The sequence below is a fragment of the Homo sapiens genome, chromosome X (genome assembly GCF_000001405.40).
Source record: "Homo sapiens chromosome X, GRCh38.p14 Primary Assembly".
NCBI lineage: Eukaryota > Metazoa > Chordata > Mammalia > Primates > Hominidae > Homo > Homo sapiens.
Window position 1 is genome coordinate 72221415 of NC_000023.11, and position 23159 is coordinate 72244573.

General features: G+C 45.7%; 2 protein-coding genes across 3 annotated transcripts in view, besides 1 other annotated feature; one reads left to right on the forward strand and one right to left on the reverse strand.

Annotated features, from left to right (window-relative positions):
• ERCC6L (ERCC excision repair 6 like, spindle assembly checkpoint helicase) overlaps window positions 1-17613 on the reverse strand; it is a 34363-nt gene extending 16750 nt beyond the window's left edge. The window contains exons 1-2 of one of the 2 annotated variants that reach the window (NM_001009954.3): window positions 17430-17613; window positions 16417-16534 (exon numbers count right to left, since the gene is read on the reverse strand). Coding sequence is in view for 1 of the 2 variants with exons in the window: in NM_017669.4 (NP_060139.2) it covers window positions 17430-17497 (68 nt within the window). In the remaining variant the exon portion in view is untranslated. The remainder of the gene's footprint in view (window positions 1-16416; window positions 16535-17429) is intronic. The other variant, NM_017669.4, reaches the window with a different exon arrangement.
• Window positions 1-23159, forward strand: part of PIN4 (peptidylprolyl cis/trans isomerase, NIMA-interacting 4) — an 82289-nt gene that overhangs the window by 39739 nt on the left and 19391 nt on the right. The gene's annotated exons all lie outside the window — the stretch shown is intronic.
• Window positions 17395-17544: an enhancer, noted in NCBI's record as "active region_29756". NCBI's record gives its function as "activates an Ori minimal core promoter by ATAC-STARR-seq in GM12878 lymphoblastoid cells {active_cell/tissue: GM12878}" and the evidence as "EXISTENCE:reporter gene assay evidence [ECO:0000049][PMID:35858748]".

The following is a 23159-nucleotide window of genomic DNA, read 5'->3' on the forward strand; positions in this document are numbered from 1 at the left end:
CCTCTTTAGAAAGAGGACGCCGGGTCTCTGTCTTTCATCTGGGGATGCCTAGAACAAAAACAGACACCCTCGGCTTCTTCTCACCAGTCCACATGGGTGCCAAACAATCCCACATTCCTACATCCTCCCCACTGGGCTGCCTCCTTCACAACCTCACCAAACTTGGCTTACCGGGAAGCATAAAGCCAAAGCATTTAGTCTTTTATTGCAACATGGTCTGGCTGCAATACACATTAGATAATGACAGCCGATGGTTGGAAAATGTCACCTTTTACTTGCAAATTCTTAGGGACCTCGACAACTTTATAACCAGGAATGGCAAATGGCAAGAGGTTCTCTACATTCAGGCTTTCTTCTACCTTAGCTCCCAACCCTCCCTATGTCAAGCTTGCACCCCTCATGAAGTCCTTCTTCTCAATGAAAATGCTGTCTGGGTCTCTCCCTCCTCCAAAAACCTTTCCTCTGAGATCCCTTCCCGCGAAAACCCTTCCTCCAAAACCCCTTCCCTCGAAACCCCTTCCTCTGAAACCCCTTTTGACCCTGCAGATGAACCCCCTTCGTATTCCCATCCCCCTGGTTCTGCTCCTCATCCTTCCAAACCCTCCACCCCAGGGGGCCCTCCTGCCCTCAAGCCTCCAGCCCCAAACCCCACTCCTCCTCCTTCTCCACCTGTTACCCGTTCAAAAGCCACCAGTCAAACCACCCCAGCCATTCTCCCTCTCCGGGAAGTGGCTGGGGTTGAAGGCATTGCTCGTATTCACATCCCTTTCTCCAAGTCTGATTTGTCACAAATCAAACGGCAGCTAGGATCCTTCTCTGACAATCCCTATCACTATCGCAGGGAATTCCTGCACGTAACCCAATCCTTTAATTTAACTTGGCATGATATTTATATAATTTTAACCTCCACCCTCACTCCTGATGAAAAGGAGAGCATCTGGTGTTCAGCTGAAGCCCATGCAGATGAACTCCATAACCAAGCCCCTATATAAAATCCAGTGGCCAATGATGCAGTCCCCCATAGAGACACAGACTGGACTTACCAACAGGGAAACAATGGCATCAGGCGACAGAACCACATGATTACCTGTCTCCTCACGGGCATGAACAAAAATGCCCATAAGGCAGTTAATTATGAAAAACTCAGAGAAATTACAAAGGAGCCCCAGGAGAATCCAGCCTTTTTTTTTTTTTTTTTTTTTAGATGGAGTCTCACTCTGTTGCCCAGGTTGGAACGCAGTAGCGCGATCTCAGCTCACTGCAACCTCCGCCTCCCAGGTTCAAGCGATTCTCCTGCCTCAGCCTCCTGAGTAGCTGGGATTACAGGCGCGTGTCACCACGCCCAGCTAATTTTTGTATTTTTAGTAGAGACAGGGTTTCATCATGTTGGTCAGGCTGATCTCGAACTCCTGACCTCGTGATCCACCCGCCTCGGCCTCCCAAAGTGCTGGGATTACAGGCATGAGCCACTGCGCCCGGCCTGAATCCTGCCCTTTTCTTATCACATCTCACTGAAGCCATGCTAAAATATACCAATCTGGATCCAGAATCTAGAGAAGGGCAAACTTTTCTCCACTTCCAATTTATTTCCCAATCTGCCCCAGATATCCAGAAAATATTACAAAAATTAGAGGAAGGTCAGCCGGGTGCAGTGGCTCACGCCTGTAATCCCAGCACTTTTGGAGGCCGAGGCAGGCGGATCACGAGGTCAAGAGATCGAGACCACCCTGGCCAACATGGTGAAACCCCGTCTCTACTAAAAATACAAAAAAAAAATTAGCCGGGCATGGTGGCAGGCGCCTGTAATCCCAGCTACTTGGGAGGCTGAAGCAGGAGAATCACTTGAACCTGGGAGGCGGAGGTTGCGGTGAGCTGAGATCACGCCATTGCACTCCAGCCTGGGCAAAAAGAGTGAAACTCTGTCTTAAAAAAAAAAAAAAAATTAGAGGAAGGTCCCCAAACATCTCAGCAGGACCTCCTAAATGCGGCCTTTGGAGACAGTTTTGCTCTTGTTGCCCAGGCTGGAGTGCAATGGCGTGATCTTGGCTCACTGCAACTTCTGCCTCCCAGGTTCAAGCGATTCTCCTGCCTCAGCCTCCCGAGTAGCTGGGATTACAGGCATGCGCCACCCCACCCAGCTAATTTTGTATTTTTAGTAGAGACGGGGTTTCGCCATGTTGGTCAGGCTGGTCTCAAACTCCTGACCTCAGGTGATCCACCCGCCTTGGCCTCCCAAAGTGCTGGAAGGCCTTCCGTGTCTTTAACAACAGAGACAAGGAACAAAAAATTCAAAAAGACAAACATGTCTGGTTAAAATACCAGATGCTCACCTCTGCTGTCCAAAGGTCAGTTACACAAAAGCCTCCAGACAACCCCAAGGGAAACTCCGTCACCTCTCTGGAAGTGTCACCCTGAAGTGCCACATCAGGGTTCCAATGTGGCAACCCTGGACACTGGGCAAAGGCTTGTCCTAGCCCCTGGCCCCCTACCAAACCGTGCCCAACTTGTGGTCTTTGGGGACACTGGAAAATGGACTGTGCCCAATGGATACACCCTCCCTGTTCAAGTGTAGCCCTGTGAGGCCCCCTGACCATCACAGGAGGAAATATCTTCACTGCTGGTACTGACAACGGAAGACTGAGGGTGCCTGGAATCCTTCACCCCCACATCCAGTGAGTCCATGGAACCCAGGGTAATTGGGACGGTATCCAGTAAGATTATTTCCTTTCTCCTGGATACTGGGGCGAGCCTATCAGTATTAACTGAATATCAAGGCCCACTAGAATGTTCATAATTTTCTGTTGTTGGCATGAAGGACATACAAGAACTTCCATACAAAACACTGCCTCTATACTGCTCATTTCAGGGAGTCACTCTCACTCACTCTTTCTTGGTCATTCCTCATTGTCCCACTCCTTTACTAGGAAGGGACATCCTACACAAACTAGGGGGAATCATTCATTCATCGGCCCTACATCAAAGCCACCCTTACTTATTATTATGTCAAGAAAAAAACCCCTCCTCAGACACTCCACATCAAATAGACTTAAAACCCAAATTCCTGGCTCACGCCTGTAATCACAGCACTTTGGGAGGCCGAGGCAGGCGGATCACCTGAGTTTGGGAGCTTGAGACCAGCCTGACCAACATGGAGAAACCCTGTCTCTACTAAAAATGCAAAATTAACTGGGCGTGGTGGTGCATGCCTATAATCCCAGCTACTCGGAGGCTGAGGCAAGAGAATTGCTTGAATCCGGGAGGTGGAGGTTGCAGCAAGCCAAGATCACGCCATTGTACTCCAGCCTGGGCAACAAGAGCAAAACTCTGTCTCAAAACAAACAAACAAACAAAAAACACCCAAATCCCTCAGCCAGGTAAATCCTATAGTATGGAACACTGACTCCCCCATAATAGCTACCCACCATTCTCTAATTCAAATCTCACTAAAGGATCCTAAGCGCTACACAGTGGTCCCACAATATCACCTCAACCCTAATGGATTACAGGGACTCAAGCCCATCATCTACTGACTTTTGGCTGCCAATATTTTAATCCCCACCCATTCTCCCCATAATACTCCTATTCTCCCAATCAAAAAACCAGATGGCTCCTATAGACTGGTTCAGGATTTGTGATAAATCAACTCCACTGTTGTTCCTGTTTATCCTATTGTTCCCAAACCCCTACACCCTCCTATTGCAAATTCCTCCCAACACTAGCCATTTCTCAGTATTGGACCTCAAAGATGCTTTTTTTACTATTCCTCTACATCCCTCCTCTCAAAACCTTTTTGCTTTCACTTAGACCGACCCTGACATAGGCTACTCCCAACAACTTACCTGGACTGTCCTCCCCCAGGGGTTTAGGGACAGCCCTCACTATTTCGGTCAGGCACTTCAATTAGACCTCTCCCAGCTACATCTACAACCTAGCATCTTGCTTCAGTACATGGATGATTTACTTCTTTGCAGCCCCTCTCTAGAACATTGTATTCAACACACCACCAGGCTTTTACATTTTTTGTCTGAATGCAGGTACCAGGTGTCCAAAAAGAAGGCCCAATTAACCTCTCCAAAAGTCTCATACCTAGGATTAATGATAACTCCAAATACTTGAGAAATTCTGCCAGCATGAAAGCAAAGCATTCAACAAATCCCTTTTCCTAAAACAAAAAGGGACTTACTTTCTTTCCTCGGATTAGTGGGATATTTCTGATTATGGATAGCAAATTTTGCCATTATCACTAAACCCCTTTATGAACACACAAAAGGCAATCTTGACCAACCACTCACTCCCACTCCAGCCCTTTATCATGCTTTCTCTCACCAAAAACGTGCCTTATTACAGGCCCCTGCTCTAGGCCTTCCAAACCCCCTGAGATCCTTTCGTCTATATTTACACAGTTCTCATAATCAGGCCCTTGGACTATTAGCCCAACCCATGGGAGACTCCCTCCAACTGGTAACATATTTTTCAAAACAACTAGACCCCATTTACAAAGGTTGGCCCCTTTGCTTAAAAATTTTGGTCACAGCCCCTCTAATTATCCCTGAGGCACAAAAACTCACATTCTACAAACCCCTTCAGGTATTTTCTTTTCACAGTCTGCAAAATATACTCAGCCATAAGGCGCTAAGCTCCATCTCATCCTCCTGCATGCAGGCCTTACATTCACCTCTCCTTCAACACTCTATCTCTCTTCATAGATGCTCCCCCCTTAATCCTGCCACTCTTTTGCCTTCAGGACCAATTTTAGACACTGACCAACACTCATGCTTGAATTTAATTGAAAGTTCTCTCACCATGTTCTACCCCCTTACTTCCACTCACATAAAGCAAGCCCCAGATTGGTTTATAGATGGCAGTGCATCAGAAAACCCTTCCCTCCAAGCAGGGTATGCTATCATTGAGGGATATCATGATGATACCCACCTAGAAGAGTCGTAGAGGCTGCCCCCTTGCCTTTGGGCATATCCTCCCAACAAGCAGATTTATTTGCCCTAATAAGAGCACTAACCCTAGCAAAAAGTACACAAGTTAACATATACACCGATTCTAAATATGCCTATAACACCATCCATTCCAATGCCCAAATTTGGAGCGAGCGGGGCTATGTCACGGCTAAGGGATTTCCTATCATTAATGGAAAACTCATCACTTACTAAAGGCAGCTTTACTTCCAGAAAAGGTTGCAGTTATCCATTGCAAAGGACATCAATCAGATAAAAACCACATTCCAATAGGAAACCGTGAGGCTGAGTATTGGGCAAAACAAGCCTCAACCAACCATCCAATCCCCCAATACCTATTAAGCCTCATACAACATATCCCCTCCTTTTATCCAGAACACCAAATACAGCAACTAATCACAGCGGGGGCACAAGTCAAACCCCCATACTGCTTTGTACAAAACAAATTAGTCCCATCTGACCCTGAAGAAACTGCTCTTTTATAGGACATTCACAACCTCTTCCATACTAGCCATTCCCCTTGACAACATTTCTTAAGCTCCCATATACACATAACCCCAGATATAAAGGAACAGCTAAAGGCCATTTCCCATCAATGTTCTACTTGCCAAAAGGCTTCACCCTACTCCAACACTAAATCCCTTTCTTTCCCAACCCATCAAGCCAGGGGACACCTTCCAGGACAGGACTGGCAAATTGATTTTACCCATATGCCCCCAGTTAAAAAGGTTCGGTTTCTTCCAGTTCTCATCAATACCTTTTCAGGATGGGTCGAGGCTTTTCCCACAACCAACAAATGGGCTTCTACTGTCACCTCCAAATTAATAATGGAAATCATACCCAGGTTCAGGGTGCCTCTTTCTTTTCAATCCGACAATGGTCCTGAATTCATCTCTCAAATTACTCAACACTTGCACCAGCTCTACATATCACCTGGAAGCTATATATCCTCTATCGACCTCAATCTTCAGGAAAGGTTGGAAAAATGAATGGCATTCTAAAAACCACCCTCACCAGGTACTCACTCCAAACTCTTAAAGACTGGGTTACACTTTTGCCTTTGGCCCTTCTAAAAATTTGGGCATTCCCACATAAACCCTTAATGCTCAGCCCCTTTGAACTCATGTATGGGAAACCACTGGCCCCTTTTGTTCCACCTCAGGGTCAAACACCACCTCTACCAACTCCCCTTGTTTCCCCTCTTCTGTATATTATCCGCCATTTCATTTGGGAATATGCTGACAAATACCTGCCACAACCCATCACTGACTCCTCTAATCCCTTCCTATAGCCAGAAGACTGGGTTCTCATAAAAGATCCCAGTCCTACCCCCAATTCCCCCCTCACACCTAAATGGAAGGTGTAAAAAGTAAAGTAGAGGTTCCTCTTCAAAGACTTTCCTCCCCACCTAATTAGGAATAAATAGTAACTTCTCTTAGAAGCAAAATTTATTCAAAGACCTGTGCTAACATCCTTAAATATCGGCCAGCCGTAATAAAGAAATCAATGTACTTTATGTTCTTAGCTCCTACAATTTAGCCTAAATATTTGCCCTGGCATGCTTATACTAGTCCAAGCAAACATTAGGTCATAGCCTGTTCCTCTTCCTTATTTGAAGGTGTTTTTACCTTTCTCAGCATTCCACAAGTTACTTCCTCCTTCCTTTGTTCTCCTCTGTCTTTGCCTCTTTTAAAAAGTTCTAAGTTGCTAGCCAATCGGGACAAATACAGAATGTGAGGTCCCGTTCCAGCCAATGGAAACTGGACACAGCAGTAGGGTGGAAGCGTCAGTTTATAAATGACCCTGTCTCCTTTGTTCGGTGTACTCTCATGGCAAAACTGCTGGCGAGGGTGCTCTTTCTGCAGAAAGTAAAAATGGCCTTGCTGAGGAAATTAATTTTATGTTCAAGTGCTATTTCTTTATGGCACCAGGGAACAAACATTTCTAACAAAGGGACCTTACCAAATCATTCTTACCATACCCACAGCAGCAAAACTCCAGGGACTCCCCAACTGGTTTCATTATACTTCTCTCAAGAAAACAGACTTCCCTTTGCCACATACCCAAACAACCAAATCCAAAACCCCTTCAGCCTTCTCTTGTGTCTCCACAGGACCCACTTCCCTTTGCCTCACCCGAATCTTGGAAGAAAAGGAAGAGAAATTCACCTAAACCACTTATGTCTCTTTCTCTCCCAAACTTTCACTGCTTCCTAATCAACCTTGTTACAGTCCTTCAGCGGTACCCTTACGAAACTCCCATTATATATCCTGATCAGCTCTTTACTGTTCTATGGGACCTATGGCTTCAAGGAACTTTCCAGGACTTTACTCTTACCCAAATAACCTTTTTCGCTTTTTGCTTGTTTTTTTTTCAATACAAATACCCTAAGTACATCAACCTCACCAATACAACCACTTCTCACTGCTCTCAAGCTCGAACTATAAACCTTACACAATCCCTCTTGCTGCGAACTAACTCTTCCTTTGCTCCTGAATGCTGGATGTGCTTATCGCTGTCTTCCTCAGCCTACACAGCCCTTCCTGCATCCCTTCATGACCTTTTAGCAGGGAGCATAACCCTAATTTATACACTCCAAAAGGGAGCTTCCTTTCTTGAAAGAGCTGACACCCTGGTCGGCAATTATCCTACTTCCAGGGCCAATCAGGCTAACAAATTATTTCAAACCTATTACAACTCCCTGCAACGCCTCAAGCCTCAAGACTCTCCCATTAAAGGGCCTATAACTAAACACACCCCCCTTTTACAACAAGCTTCACTTTGCTTTTCAGCCTCTGAAGGAAATCTCCCTGTAGGATCCTTAACACCTAACCAACGCAACCGTACTATCATTATTAAACACCCCTCTGACCATCAAACTAACCGAGTTAACTACCCAGTATCACCTGAAGCAAATGGAGCATTTCCGCAACTGGCTCGTTTGACAGCCTCTCTCTCAGCCAATGCCTATGGCCTAACTTGTGCTGTGCCTGGTGCCCACCTTTTTCCATGGCTCAATATCAATGGTGCAACATCCTATTGCATTAAATGTGTAAAAAGTAACTCTTCCTATATTTCTACTATAGTAGGTGTCTCCCTGGCCTCCTCCTTGTCCATTTGGAGTAATGAACCACAGGAAAGAAAAAACACCCCATGTTTAGTTCACCTACTGTCTTTCCATATCTCTGCCTGTATACACGACAAAGGCCTGTTCTTTTTGTGTGGCACCAACACATACCTTTGTCTCCCTACCAACTGGACTGGAACCTGTACCCTAGTTTATCTATCTCCCTCCATTGGACTTGTTCCTCCTGATCGACCTTTGCCCATCCCACCCATCCAATATGTTAGAAAAGGAAGGGCCATCCATGTCATTCCCTTAATAGCCACCTTGGGTATAACCTCTGGACTTGGATTGAGAGCAAGCAGATTAGCCACTTCCATAACATACTTTAAGGCTGTTTCAACAGAACTACAGAACTCATTAGAAGACACAGCCCCAAGCCTTATAAAAGTCCAAGACCTTGGCCAGGCACGGTGGCTCACGCCTGTAATCCCAGCACTTTGGGAGGCCGAGGCAGGAGATAGAGACCATCCTGGCTAACACGGTGAAATCCCATCTCTACTAAAAATACAAAAAATTGGCTGGGCGTGGTGGTGGGCGCCTGTAGTCCCAGCTACTTGGGAGGCTGAGGCAGGAGAATGGCATGAACCCGGGAGGAGGAGCTTGCAGTGAGCCGAGATTGCGCCACTGCACTCTGCTCTGGGAGACAGAGCAAGACTCCGACTCAAAAAAAATAAAAAAAAAAATTAAGAATAAAGGATTGATCAGGCTATTTGAAGAGCAACCTCATCATATCCCACAATTCCAAACTCCTCCCCAACCAGAGACATGCTAGCCCCAAGATAACCCCCCTCTGGCCAGGAAGATGGCAGCCTTGAGATAACCCGCCTTGGCTGGAAAGATGTCTGCCCCAAGATAACCTCCTCTCCTCCCAGAGACATTCCAACCCTGCCATAAAACCTCTCCCTCACACAGAAACATTCCAAGCTTGTGATAAGCCCCCTCACCCTAAAACCAATATATACTCTTAGTCTGTAAGAGAAAGCACTCCTGACCAAAAATCGGCCAGAAGCCCCTCTCAGGTTTTATCTGAAGTAAACCTGCCTTTAACTGTTGAGCTGCATTTTGTTTCTTTCCTCTTTCTTTAACTCTTACAAGTGTTGGCAAGGATGTGGAGAAAAGGGAACGCTTGTATACTGTTGGTACTATTATAAATTAGCATGGACATTCTGGGCTGGGCATGGTGCTTCACGCCTGTAATCCCAGCACTTTGGGAGGCCTAGGGTGGGCAGATCGCTTGAGCTCAGGAGTTTAAAACCAGCCTGGGCAACATGGCAAAACCCCATCTCTACCAAAAATACAAAAAATTAGCCAGGCATGGTGGTGTGCACCTGTGATCCCAGCTACTTGGGGGGCTGAGGTGGGAGGACTGCTTGAGCTCAGGAGCCCCAAGCTTCAGTGAGCCGAGATCGTGCCACTGCACTCCAGCCTGGGTGACAGAGGGAGACCCTGTCTCTAAATAAATAAATACATACATAAGTATGGCCATTCTGGAAAACAGTGCAGAGGTTCCTCAAAAAACTAAAAATAAAGTTACCATATGATCCAGCAATCTCACTTCTGGGTACTTCCAAAGGACCTGAAATCAGTATATTGAAGAGATACCTGCACTCCCGTGTTCACTGCAGCATTATTCATAGTAGCCAAGAAAAGGAAACAACCAAAGTCACCATCAACAGGATGAATGGATTTTTAAAATGTGGTATATACACACAATGAAAAATTATTCAGCCGTTAAAAGGCAGGAAATTCTGATTTGCAACATGAATGAACCTAAAAGACATTTTGCTAGGTGAAATAAACCAGGCACGGAGAGACAAATACTCCATGATCTCGCTTATACATGGAATCTAGAAAAGAAGTAGAGAGTAGAACAGTAGTTACCAGAGGCTGGGGGGATAGGGGTAGATGGGGAAAGGAGAAATGTTAGTCAATGGTACAAAGTTTCAGTTAAACAGGAGGAATAGGTTCTAGTGATCTACTGCACATCATGGTGACTATTATTAATAATAATGAATCATATATTTCAAAATAGCTAAAAGAATGAACTTTTTTTTTTTTGAGACAGGGTCTCCCTCTGTCACCCAGCCTGGAGTGCAGTGTGCCATGATCTCAGGTTACTGCAGCCTCCGCCTCCTGGGTTCATAGGATTCTCCTGCCTCTGCCTCCCGAGTAGCTGGGACTACAGATGCGTACCACCACACACAACTAATTTTTGTATTTTTAGTAGAGACAGAGTTTCGCCATGTTGGTCAGGCTGAAGAATGGATTTTAAATTTTTTCACCACAAAGAAATGATAAGTATTTGAGGTGATGGATATGTTAATTAGCCTGATTTGATCATTTCACAATGTATACGTGCATTGAAACATCACATTGTACCCCACAAATATATACAATTATTGTTGGTCAAAAATAAAACTGGTCAAGTGCAATGGCTCATGCCTGTAATCCCAGCACATTTGGAAGCCAAGGCAGAAAGATCGTTTGAGTCCAGGAGTTCAAGATTACGGTGAACTATGATGGCGCCACTGCACTCCAGCCTAGATGACAGAGCGAGACCCTGTCTCTAAAAAAACAGAAATAAAACTGTACTCCATAAACATGTATAATTATGTGTCAATTATAAATAAACCCAAAAACTTTAAAAATAAAATAAAATAATGCCAAAGTAAAAGGTTTACTAAAAAAATGTGAAAGTTCTCAGCACAGAGATGAGATTTAAAGCCAAGAACCTGGATAAGATCACCCAAGGAAGGAGTATTAAAAAAAAAAAAAAAAAAAAAAAAAGACAGCTGGGCATGGTGGCTCATGCCTGTAATCCCAGCACTTTGGGAGGCCAAGGCAGGTGGATCACTTGGGCTCAGGAGTTCGAGACCAGCCTGGGCAACATAGCCAGACCTGCCTCAAAAAAAAAAAAAAAAAAAAAAGACATGGCATTCCAACATTAAGATCATCTATAGAATTCCAGCTAATGAATACACAAAGAACGGTGAAACTAGAAAATCACGACTTTGCAGCCAGGCTTGGTGGCTCACGCCTGTAATCCCAGCACTTGGGGAGGCCAAGGCAGGCAGATCACCTGAAGTCAAGAGTTGGAGACCAGCCTGGCTAACATGACGAAACCCCGTTTCTACTAAAAACACAAAAAATTAGCCGGGTGTGGTGGCACCCACCTGTAATCCCAGCTACTCAGGAGGCTGAGGCAGGAGAATCACTTGAACCCGGGAGGTGGAGGTTGCAGTGAGCTGAGATCGCGTCATTGTACTCCAGCTTGGGCAACAAGAGCGAAACTCCGTCTCAGAAAAGAAAATCACCACTTTGTAATCTCTAATAACTGATTTGACACTTTGGGAGGCTGAGGCAGGTGGATCGCTTGAGACTAGGAGTTCAAGACCAGCCTGGGCAACATAGGGAGACCCCATCTCTTTAAAAAAAAAAACTGATTTGAGCAATAATTATCAATGGTTGAAAGCCTGATGGGTTGGTGGGGAACTGGATATTCACAGAATACTAAGCTATCCTGAACGTATTACTTCCTCATCATAAGGGGGAAATGCAACTTTGCAAAGGAGGAATCAGATTGTAATCACTGAACCCATTGATCAACCTTTCAATAGCATTATTGAAAGTAGGAAAGTCAGATGTTATATACTTCCTGATATGACACAATATAGCTACACAGCCTTCCCTATAAAGTATTCATGCCAAAAATATTGAAGCTTAATCTTATCAAGCCTTTAGTTTAAATTATAGGAGACAGAACAAACTAATGACACTACAAGGAAGACATCACACTAATTCAAATCATTGTCATAGAAATAAAAGTGGAGGGGAGGGGAGAACTGTTCTAGATTAGAAGTTCAAGAAACATAAAACCCAAATGAAGTTGTAGACCTTCTTTGGATCCTGATAAACCATTCAAAAATTTGAGGCTGGGCATGGTAGCTCACGCCTGTAATCACAGCACTTTGGGAGGCCGAGGCAGGCGAATCACTGGTCAGGAGTTCAGGACCAGCCTGGCCAACATGGTGAAACCCTGTCTCTACTAAAAATACAAAAAATTAGCTGGGCATGGTGGTGGGTGCCTGTAATCCCAGCTACTCGGGAGGCTGAGGCAGGAGAATCACTTGAACCCAGGAGGCGAAGTTTACAGTGAGCCGAGATTGCGCCACCACACTCCAGCCCGGATGACACTGCAAGACTCCGTCTCAAAAAAAAAAAATTTGAATATGGACTATGTATTAGATAATATCAATGAATTCATTTATTTTGTTAGGTGTGATATGGCATGGTGGTTTTGTAAGAATATGGTTTTTTTTTTGACCGGGCAAGGGGGCTCATGCCTGTAATCCCAGCACTTTGGGAGGCTGAGGCAGGTGAATCACCTGAGGCCAGGAGTTTGAGGCCAGCCTGGCCAACATGGTGAAACCCCATACTAAAAATACAATAATTAGCCTGGCGTGGTAGCAGGTGCCTGTAATCCCAGCTACTTGGGAGGCTGAGGCAGAGAATCACTTGAACCTGGGAGGCAGAGGTTGCAGTGAGCTGAGATTGCGCCACTGCACTCCAGCCTGGGCAACAGAGCAAGACTCCGTCTCAAAAAAAAAAAAGAATATGTTCTTTTTAAGGAATATATACTTAAGTATTTCAGCGTGAAATGTCATATCTGGGGATTTAAATTATCTTAGAAGATATGAGGAGGAATATCAACAGAATCTGAAGCAGCAGTCAGTGAAGTAAGAAGAAAATCCGGAGAGCAAGGGCTCCTTGGAAGACTAATGAATCATGTGTTTCATGGAGAAGTGATTAACTTCGTCAAGTACTACTGGTCGAGGTAGATGAAGATTGAGAATTGACTGTTGGATTTAGTTATATGAATGTCATTGGTGACTTTGATAAAAGCAGTTTGTGTAAAGTGATGGGGTGAAAACCTGATTGGGACGAGTTCAACAGAAGTTAGGAGAAAAGAAATAGGAAATGACAAGTGTAGACAATGATATGACACCTGGAATTTTGCTGTAAAGGAAAGAGAAGAAATGGAGCAATAACTGGAAATGAAAATAGGATCAAGAGAGGATTTTTTTTTTTAACAATGAAAGAATTGGTGGGCTGAAGTCCTTATACCAGTGAGTGACAAGGGATGAGATCTTTTGCACAAATGGAGGGGTTGTGCCTTAGCTAGAAGCATGGAGAGTTCATCCATACTAACAGGACAGAAGGCAAAGAACACAGAGGGAATAATGCTGGGAAGTAGGTTGATATGGAAGAAGCTTCTGGAAACTGTCTTCTGATTGCTTCTATCAACCCAGTGAAATTGGAAGCAAGAGAGATGAGGGTGAGATGTTGAGGGTCTGAAAAGCAAGAAGGCATGAAACAGGCATCTAGTACAATGGATGAGTGAATACATTAGAGAAATGTACTATGATTGCCAGGCAGCATGAAGGGCCTGCTTGACATCGATATTGATGGATTTCAAGTAAGACCAGTCACATGATTGTTTCTTCAACCATGTTCATCTGAGAGGGCCAGAGTTGGATTTAGCAAAATGTATTAGTTTCCTATTGCTGCCGTTACAAATCATCACAAATGTTAAAACAACACAAAGTATTATCTTTTATCTTACAGGTTATATCTTGCAGGTTATATAGGTTAGAAGTCTGACACAGGTCTCACTGGGCTAAAATTAAGGTTGCAGCAAGGCTGTGTTCCTTTCTGGAGGCTCTAGGGGGAGAATGTGCTTCTTGCTTTTCCAGCTTCCAGAGGCCATACACATTCCTTGGTTCATAGCCCCTTCCCCCATCTACCGAGCCAGGTAGGATAGGTTGAATCCTTCTCACACTGAGTCACTATGACCTCCTCTTCTGCCTCCCTCTTCCACTTTTTTTTTTTTTTTTTTTTTTGGAGATGGAGTTTCACTTTTGTAGCCTAGGCTGGAGTGCAACGGTGCGATCTCAGCTCACTGCAACCTCCACCTCCTGGGTTCAAGCAATTCTCCTGCCTCAGCCTCCTGGGTAGCTGGGATTACAGGCGTGTACCACCACGTCCAGCTTATTTTTCTATTTTTGTAGAAACGGTTTCATCACGTTGGCCAGGCTGGTCTCGAACTCCTGACCTCAGGTGATCCACCCACCTTGGCCTCCCCAAGTGCTGGGATTACAGGCGTGAGCCACCACACCCAGCCCCTCTTCCACTTTTAAGCACCCTGTGATTACACTGGGCTCACCCAGATATTCCAATTTCCCTATTTTAGGGTCAGCTGGTTAGTGACCTTAATTCCTCTCTACCATATGAGGGTAACATATTCACAGGGTTCAGAAATTAGTATGTGGATATCCTCGGGAGGCCATTACTCTGCTTACCATACGAAGGCTATGGTCTTGCCAAGCCAGTATAATTAAGTGTGAAAGAGAAAAAAAATAAGTTAAAGTTGTATACAAGGAAGCCTCCACAATTATTGACTCTGAACTTCAAACTATGTAAGGAGAGAAGTGAGAACCTGAGGGGTGTGCAACAGTGAAAAGATGGAATCAATGAACTATAGGTCCCAACAATATCAAACATTTGTTGGAATTGGTATTCTAGAGGGAGTAAGGTAGAAGATGGAGAGTAGAATGCTTGAACGGTGGTGTAATAATGTAAGTGTAATAAAAAGTCTGATTCTGCTGGGCATGGTGGCTCACACCTGTAATCCCAGTGCTTTGGCAGCCTGAGTTGGGAGGATCACTTGAGTCTAGGAGTTCAAGACCAGCCTGGGCAACACAGTGAGACTTCATCTCTACAAAAATCTTTTTTTTCTTTTTTTTCTGAGACGGAGTCTTGCTCTGTTGCCCAGGCTGGAGTGCAGTGGCGCCATCTCAGCTCGCTGCAACCTCCGCCTCCTGGGTTGAAGCAATTCTGCCTCAGCCTCCCAAGTAGCTGGGATTACAGGTGCCCGCCACCATATCTGACTAATTTTTGTATTTTTAGTAGAGACGGGGCTTCACCATGTTGTCCAGACTGGTCTTGAACTCCTGACCTCGTGATGCACCTGCCTCGCCCTCCCAAAGTGCTGGGATTACAGGCATGAGCCACTGCACCCAGCCTACAAAAATCTTTTAAAAATTAGCCGGGCTTCATGGCACACACCTCTGGTATATGTTTATATGTACAGTAAGTCCTCAGTTAACGTGGTCAGTAGGTTCTTGGCAACTGCAACTTTAAGCAAAATGACACACAGCAGGCCCTTGAATGACACTGGTTCATTCAATATCATTTTGCTGCAACACTGATGAGAAAAAAATTGGTTTTGCTACGTCATTTCACTTAAAGTCAGTTTCCAAGAACCTATGGACAATGTTAAGTGAGGACTTACTGTATACACACGCACACACATCTTTGCTCACTCATGTAAGTGTATCTGTAGAAGAAAATACTACAAGTCTTAGCTTCAAAAGTAAAACTATGTATCTTAACTTTTGAATTGACTCATATAGCTCATCACACACCAGCCTGAGAGAATATAAATAAATGCTTACTCACACTATTGACTTTATTAAAATCTGGCATGGTTTTCTTGAATGGCAATTTTAAATACACATTCCCTAAGACCCAGCAATCGGAATTCCAAAGTGTACACTCAGTTACGAAGTGCACAAAAATTCACACAAAGGCTGCCTATTACAACAAAAGTATAATGGCAAACAATTGGAAAAATCTAAATGAAAGGCCTGGCATGGTGGCCCACGTCTGTAATCTCAACACTTTGGGAGGCCGAGGCAGGAGGATTGCTTGAACTCAGGAGTTTGAGACCAGCCTGGGCAACATGGCGAGACCCTGTCTCTACTAAAAACACAAAAAAAATACTTTGGGAGGCCGAGGCGGGCGGATCACGAGGTCAGGAGATTGAGACCATCCCGGCTAACACGGTGAAACCCCGTCTCTACCAAAAATACAAAAAATTAGCCGGGTGTGTTAGCGGGCGCCTGTAGTCCCAGCTACTCGGGAGGCTGAGGCAGGAGAATGGCGTGAACCCGGAAGGCGGAGCTTGCTGTGAGCCCAGACCGCGCCACTGCACTCCAGCCTGGGTGACAGAGCGAGACTGTATCAAAAAAAGAAAAAAAAAAAATAGCTGGGTGTGGTGGTGTGCGCCTGTGGTCCCAGCTACTCCGGAAACAGGTGGGAGGATCGCATGAGCCCCGGGGGATGGAAGTTGCAGTGAGCTGAGTTAGAGATCGCGCCACTGCACTCCAGCCTGGGTGACAGAGCCAGACCCTGTCTCTAAAAATATATATAAAACAACAATAGTAAAATAATAAATTGGCTGGACATGGTGGCACCCACCTTAAGTCCCAGCTACTAGGGAGGCTGGGGCAGGAGGACTGCTTGAGCCCAGGAGTTCGAGGCTGCAGTGAACTATGATCAGGCCACTGAATTCCAGTCTGGGCGACACAGCAAGACCCTGTCTCAAAAAAAATTAAAGCAGTAAAATTCACAGAGACAGAATAATGGTTGCTAGGGGCTGAAGGGAGGGGGAAATGGGGAGTTTGTTTAATGGGAGTAGTTTCAGTTTTGCCACATGAGAAAAGTTCTGGAGATGACGGACGGCTGCACAACAATATGAATGTAGTCAACACTACTGAACTGTACATTTAAAAATGGTTAGGATGATAAACTTTATTTTTCATAAAACCCAGTTTCTGCACAAAAAGATAAAATTTATGTTATGTGTACTTTACCACAATTTAAGAAAAAATTTAAATTCTCATCCCAACATTACCACGCCCCCCACCCTTAGCCAACTGGTGAATGTTTACTCATTTTTCAACGCCTAGCTCAAATGTCTCCTCTTGCCACGCCATCCCTTAGCTGACCACCCTTGTAGTTGGCCATTCCCTCTTTTATGCCAACACTGTGCCCTGCACGTACATTATACCTCTTACAGCACTTATCAAACCTAGTAATTATTGCTTTACAGATCCGTTTCCACTACTAGATTACAAACAATTTGGGGGCGGGGACCTTGTTTTACTCATCTCTGTATCCCCTAGACTTAGGGCTTGATAAGCTGAAAAGAATCAAGAAGGGCTTGATTAATTAAGGCTCCTCTGGCTTTTAAGGAGACCATACTGGAGGGTCATTTGCCCAAAAGAAGAGGCATCGGGGTCTCCTCAGGTTTTAGAAATCTGGTCAAACATCCAGAGCTGACTCCCACACCCTACTGCGAGAAGAGCGCGAGCGCGCGTCTCAAAAGGCTCCGCCTCAACAGTTCGGGTCCCCAGGAGGATCCGGGGGCCACCCCACCTCCACCCTGGGCCAGGTCGGTTAGCTAGACCCGCCCAGCGGTCCAGACATACCTTAGGTAATGAGCAGCCTGCTCTGGGCTCAAGGCCTCGGCTTCCGGAAACCTTCGGGATGCCTCCATGACCCTCGGATTGGGTTCCAGTTACCCCGGCGGGAGTTTGGAGCTTGGAGCTTGGAGCTTGGAGCTTGGAGCTTAGAGTTTGGAGCTTGAATTTCGCTCACTCCCGCCCCGCGCATGCTCTGTGCGCCGTGGAGAGGGACACAGCCAACCGACGGCCTCGCGGCCGGCCAATCCGCGACCACGCGCTGCGACGCCTCCGCCTGAGCCCCGCCCATGACGGTGGGCGCCTGCGCCTACGCGCGCCGGGAAGCAGAAGGTGATCTCTGCCTTCGAGACACGGAGTGTGCTGCCTCAGTCTGTGATCCCTCGCGTTTCAATCCAATTCAAACCATGCTGCAGCCAATTCGTTCGCGCGTGCGTGTGCCATCATTGTGAGTGGAGGAGACTGCCCGATATGATCCCAGTCATTGCGGCGACCCCTGGAGATCTCCAACGCCTGCGTCCCCCAACCATACCCTGCCCCGCATCCACAGATATCTTCCCTTCCTTGATCGCCAGTACCTGGCACTGACCGTGCTTTGAATTCAAACACCCTGGGAGGCATAGTCCCTGTGATTTAAACTAACATTGAAGAAGCGACCAGACGCGGTGGTTCACGCCTGTAATCCCAGCACTTTGGGAGACCGGGGCGGGCGGATCACGTGAGGTCAGGAGTTCGAGACCAACCTGGCTAAAATGGTGACACCCCGTCTCTACTAAAAATACAAAAAATTAGCCGGGCGTGGTGGCGGGCGCCCGCAGTCCCAGCTACTCGGGTGGCTGAGGCACGAGAATCGCTTGGACCCAGGAGGTGGAGGTTGCAGTGAGCCGGGATTGCACCACTGCACTCCAGCCTGGGTGGCAAAGCGAGACTCCATCTCAAAAAAAAAAAAAAAAAAAAAAAAGGCTGGGTGCAGTGCCTCACGCCTGTTATCCTAGCCTTTTGGGAGGCTAAGGTGGGAGGATCACTTGCACTTAGGAGTTCGAGACCAGCCTGGGCAACATGGTGAGACTCCCGTCTCTTTAAAAAAAATTTTTTTCTTCTCCACAGGGCGTTATGCTGTATTTATTTTCTTAAAAAGAGAGAGAGAAAGAGAGAAGGGTCTTCAAGAATCTCAAACCCTGGAGGTGGAGGCTGCAGTGAGCCAAGATCATGCCACTGCACTCCAGCCTGGGTGACAGAGAAAGACTCCATCTCAAAAAAAAAAAAAAAATTAAAGTTCTTATTTAAGAAATAAGTAACTAGGTTCACATACTTGGTATAATAAAAGGAAGACAAAAATAATTTAAAAAAAAAGAAGTAGTGCTGTGGTCATCATTTCTTCAGAAGCACCAACTAAGATACAGTCATTTTCAAATGCAGAGCCTAAAAAGAAGGCAGAGCCTAGAGCTTAAGGAAATGTGATTGAGTTTAAGTGGCTTGCTTGGGTGACACTAAATAGGAGGTTGTGGGCCAACAAAAATTGTCCTTGTTCATATACTGTTAAGAACACAGACATGACTCCTCAAGACACTAATTTAGCATTCAGTATTGGAAAACTCACCTATTGGCCCAGTCATACATCATATGTCCAGAGAATTTTAAGCTTTTCATAAAATTTATAGACCGTTATGAGTTAAAAGGAATGTTGGAGGCCGGGTTCAGTGGCTCACTGAACCTGTAATCCCAGCACTTTGGGAGGCCGAGGCGGGCGGATCACCTGAGGTCAGGAGTTCAAGACCAGCCTGGCCAAATGGTGAAACCCCCGTCTCTACAAAAATTAGCTGGGCATGGTGGCGGGTGCCTGTAATCCCAGCTTCTCGGGAGGCTGGGGTGGAAGAATCGCTTGAACCCAGGAGGCAGACGTTGCAGTGAGCTGAGATCGTGCCATTGCACTCCAGCCTGGGCGACAGAGCAAGACTCCATCTCAAAAAAAAGAAAAGGGTTGGGGGGAGGTGGGGGATCTTGGAGAACATGGGCTATTTTCCTGGTTTGTATGACTTTAAGGCCTTTATTAAGAGGCCTTTTAGTATACTATTATCCACATTTTTCAGATGTGGAAACAGGCTCAGAGAGATAAATTGACTTCATCTAAGCTTCCTGAGCTAGGAAGCAGCAGAGCCAGAATTCAATACTAGGTCCATATGGACACAAATCTGTGCCGTTTCGCTGTGTCACACTGGAAAGAAGAGGGCAGTGGCGGGAAATGAGGTTGATGAGGCAGTTGAAGGCCAGGTTATGAAGGAACTTGTTTACTCTGCTAAAGTGTTTGAATCACATCTTTTCCTGGAGGCAAGCTTGGATTGGGCTGTGCTATGGTCTGAATGTCCTTCAAAATTCTTGTGTTGAAACTTAATCCCCACCATGGTGGCATTGAGAGGCGGGGCCTTTTAGCAAGTAATGTCATGAGGGATCCTACTTCATGAATAAATTAGTGCCTTATGAAAGGGCTGGAGGGAGCTAGTTTAGGCCCTTTTTGCTCTTCTGCTTTCCTACCATGTAAGGACACACTATTCCTTCCCCTCCAGAGGATGCAGCAACAAGGCACCATCTTGGAAGCAGAGAGCAGCCCTCACCAGATACCAATCCTGCTGGCACCTTCATCTTGGACTCTTCAGCCTCCAGAACCATAATAAATACATTTCTATTGTTTATAAATTATGAGTTTGATGGCCAGGTGAGGAGGCTCACGCCTGTAATCCCGCCCTTTGGGAGGCTGAGGCGGGCAGATCATCTGAGGTCGGGAGTTCGAGACCAGCCTGACGGAGAAACCCTGTCTCTACTAAAAATGCAAAATTAGCCGGGCATGGTGGCACATGCCTGTAATCCCAGCTACTTGGGAGGCTGAGGCAGGAGAATCACTTGAACCTGGGAGGCGGAGGTTGTGGTGAGCCAAGATCACGCCATTGGCACTCCAGCCTGGGCAACAAGAGCGAAACTCCGTCTCAAAAAAAAAAAATATGAGTTTGAGTCTATGGCATTTTATTATAGCAGCACAAAGGAGCTAAGGATGAGTTGAGAGTCCAGGCGCCCTGGATACCCAAAGGATGAGTAGGATGAGAAGAGCAGAATAGGGGAGAAGATGTAGGAGAGAATTCTGCAGAAAGGAAAAGAGAGATGAGAGCACAAAAATCTTCATCTTGAGTCTGGGGAAGGCCATGTCTGGTTGTGCTTTGGCTCAGGGTCCACCATCATCGCTCATATCCGGGGAATTGTTGAGAACTGAAGATGAAGCAAAGCAGGCCCCTGGTGGTTGTTGTAGGCATGCCCCATTGTGGGCTGTGAAGAAAAGCTAAAGAGAACTCCCTCAGGAACCCCGGCTACCTCCTCTCTGCTTCCCAGCTGGCAGTGATGCCTAAAGGCCCTGATCACCGGGAAGGAAGGACCAACACTCGGCTTGCCTGCCCTTTGGCTATTGGATTTTCTAAGCCCCATTTTCACACAGCTGTAGGGCTCCTCCTTTAAACTCCCCAGCTCTGGCTGCTCCTCCCCTCCCCTTCGGTCCTGTAGTCTGCTTCCCTTGGGCCCTTCTTGGTGCCTTCTGGAGTCCCAGGTCTCAACCCAGGGCTCTGATGACCCAGGAAACTCCCCAGCCCAGGCTCCTAGTCCTCCTTTATAAATGGTCACCCAGGCTCACAGCCTGAAAATAAGAGAGAGATTGGGAGGATTTTGAGTGGGTAAATGGAGAGAATCAAAGAGAGTCAAAATAATAGTTACTACTATATCCCTCTTATGTGACAGGCCCCATTCAAAACACTTTACATCGATTAATTATCTGCTGTTCCTCATTATGCATCTACCCCAATCAAGGGCTCCCATTCCCCCAGCGTCTCTCAAGGGAATGGGGTTTATAAAGCTCTCCCAGCTGGGCTCAGTGGCTCACGCCTGTAATCCCAGCACTTGGGGAGGCCGAGGCGGGCGGATCACAAGGTCAGGAGTTCGAGACCAGCCTGACCAACATGGTGAAACCCCGTTTCTACTAAAAATACAAAAATTAGCGGGTGTGATGGCACGTACCTGTAATCCCAGCTACTTGGGAGGCTGAGGCAGGAGAATTGCTTGAACCCAGGAGGCGGAGGTTGCAGTGAGCCAAGATCTCACTACTGCACTCCAGTCTGGGCGACAGAGGGTGACTCCATCTCAAAAAGAAAAGAAAAGAAAAGGAAAAAGCTCTTCCTAGGCTGGGTGCGGTGGCTTACATCTGTAATGCCAGCACTTTGGGAGGTCGAGGTGGGTGGAGTTCAAGACCAGCCTGGCCAACATGGTGAAACCCCATCTCTACTAAAATACAAAAATTAGCCGGCCATGATGGTAGGTGCCTGTAATCTCAGCTACTCGAGAGGCTGAGGCAGGAGAATGGCTTGAAGCCAGGAGGCGGAGGTTGCAGTGAGCCAAGATCATGCCATTGCACTCCAGCCTCTACAAGAGCAAAATTCTGTCTCAGAAAAAAATAAACAAAAAAAGCTCTCCCTAATTATTGTTAATTTTAAAAGGGTGATAATGGTATTGCTGTTTTTTTTTTTAAGGTCCTCATCTGTTAGAAATACAAGTTGGAGTATTTTCAGACAAAATGATATGACATCTGGGACTTACATTAAAATACTCCAGTACAGAGGGAAAAAAAAGGAGAGTACAGATGAACAAAGATTGGCAAAATGTTGATAATTGTTGAAGCTTGTTACAGAGGTTCATTATCCTCTTCTCTGCTTCTGTGTATGATTGAACATTTCCATAATAAGAATTTTAAAAAACAAAACTTTTCAACCTAATCTTCAAATTACACTGAGTCATCCGCACTCACAGGCCGGAAATATGATAATGAGGCTTTGTGGGAGGGTTCAGAATGCATAAATGGAGAGATGGATGAGGCCGAATAAGAACAATAGCTATTACTTAGATAGCACTGAAGTGCCAGGCCTTGTTCTAAGGACTTTACATGCACTGTCTTTTAATCCTTAACAACAACCTTGTTAGATGGTGTATACTATTATCATCCTCCTTTTACAGATGAGGAAACTGAGGCACAGAAAGATTGAATAACTTACACAAGTTTACACAGCTTGTGAATGGTGAAGCAGAATTCCAAACCCAGGCAGTCTGGCTTTCGACTTTTTGCTCTTTAACATGATGCTAGTTAGATATAGAAAGCAGCTGACAGGTGAAGAAAAGGATTAATTCATCCATTTACTTATTCATTTATTTAGTAAATATGTGTTGAGCCTTTACAAGATGGTCACGTAAGGATCCAGGTGCTGGGGGTAGAGTGGTGAGAAAAACAGACAAGTCCTTGCTATCAAAGAGCTTAAAGTTCCATGGTGAAGATGGACTTGAAACAATAATCACACAAACACTTGGAAAATTACAGACATGAAGAGGTCTCAGAAGGAAAACTACAGGCAATTATGACAGCATACCATGAGGTATCTGACCCAATCTGGAGGGCTGGAAAAGGTTTCTCTGAGGAAGTAGCATTTGATCTAAGAGCTGAAGGGTAGGGAGGAGTTAACCAAACAAAAAGGGAAGGGAAGGGCATTTCAGGCAGAGGGAATAGCATGATCAAAGGCCCTGAGGCAGGAGAGGGCTTGATGTGTATGAAAACTAAACAGGCTAAGATGGTTGGAGCAAGCCTAGAATGCTGAGTTGAAACGGTTTTTTGGACTCCAGTCTAATGCCACAGGTAAGGGAACTGCCAATGGGAAAGAA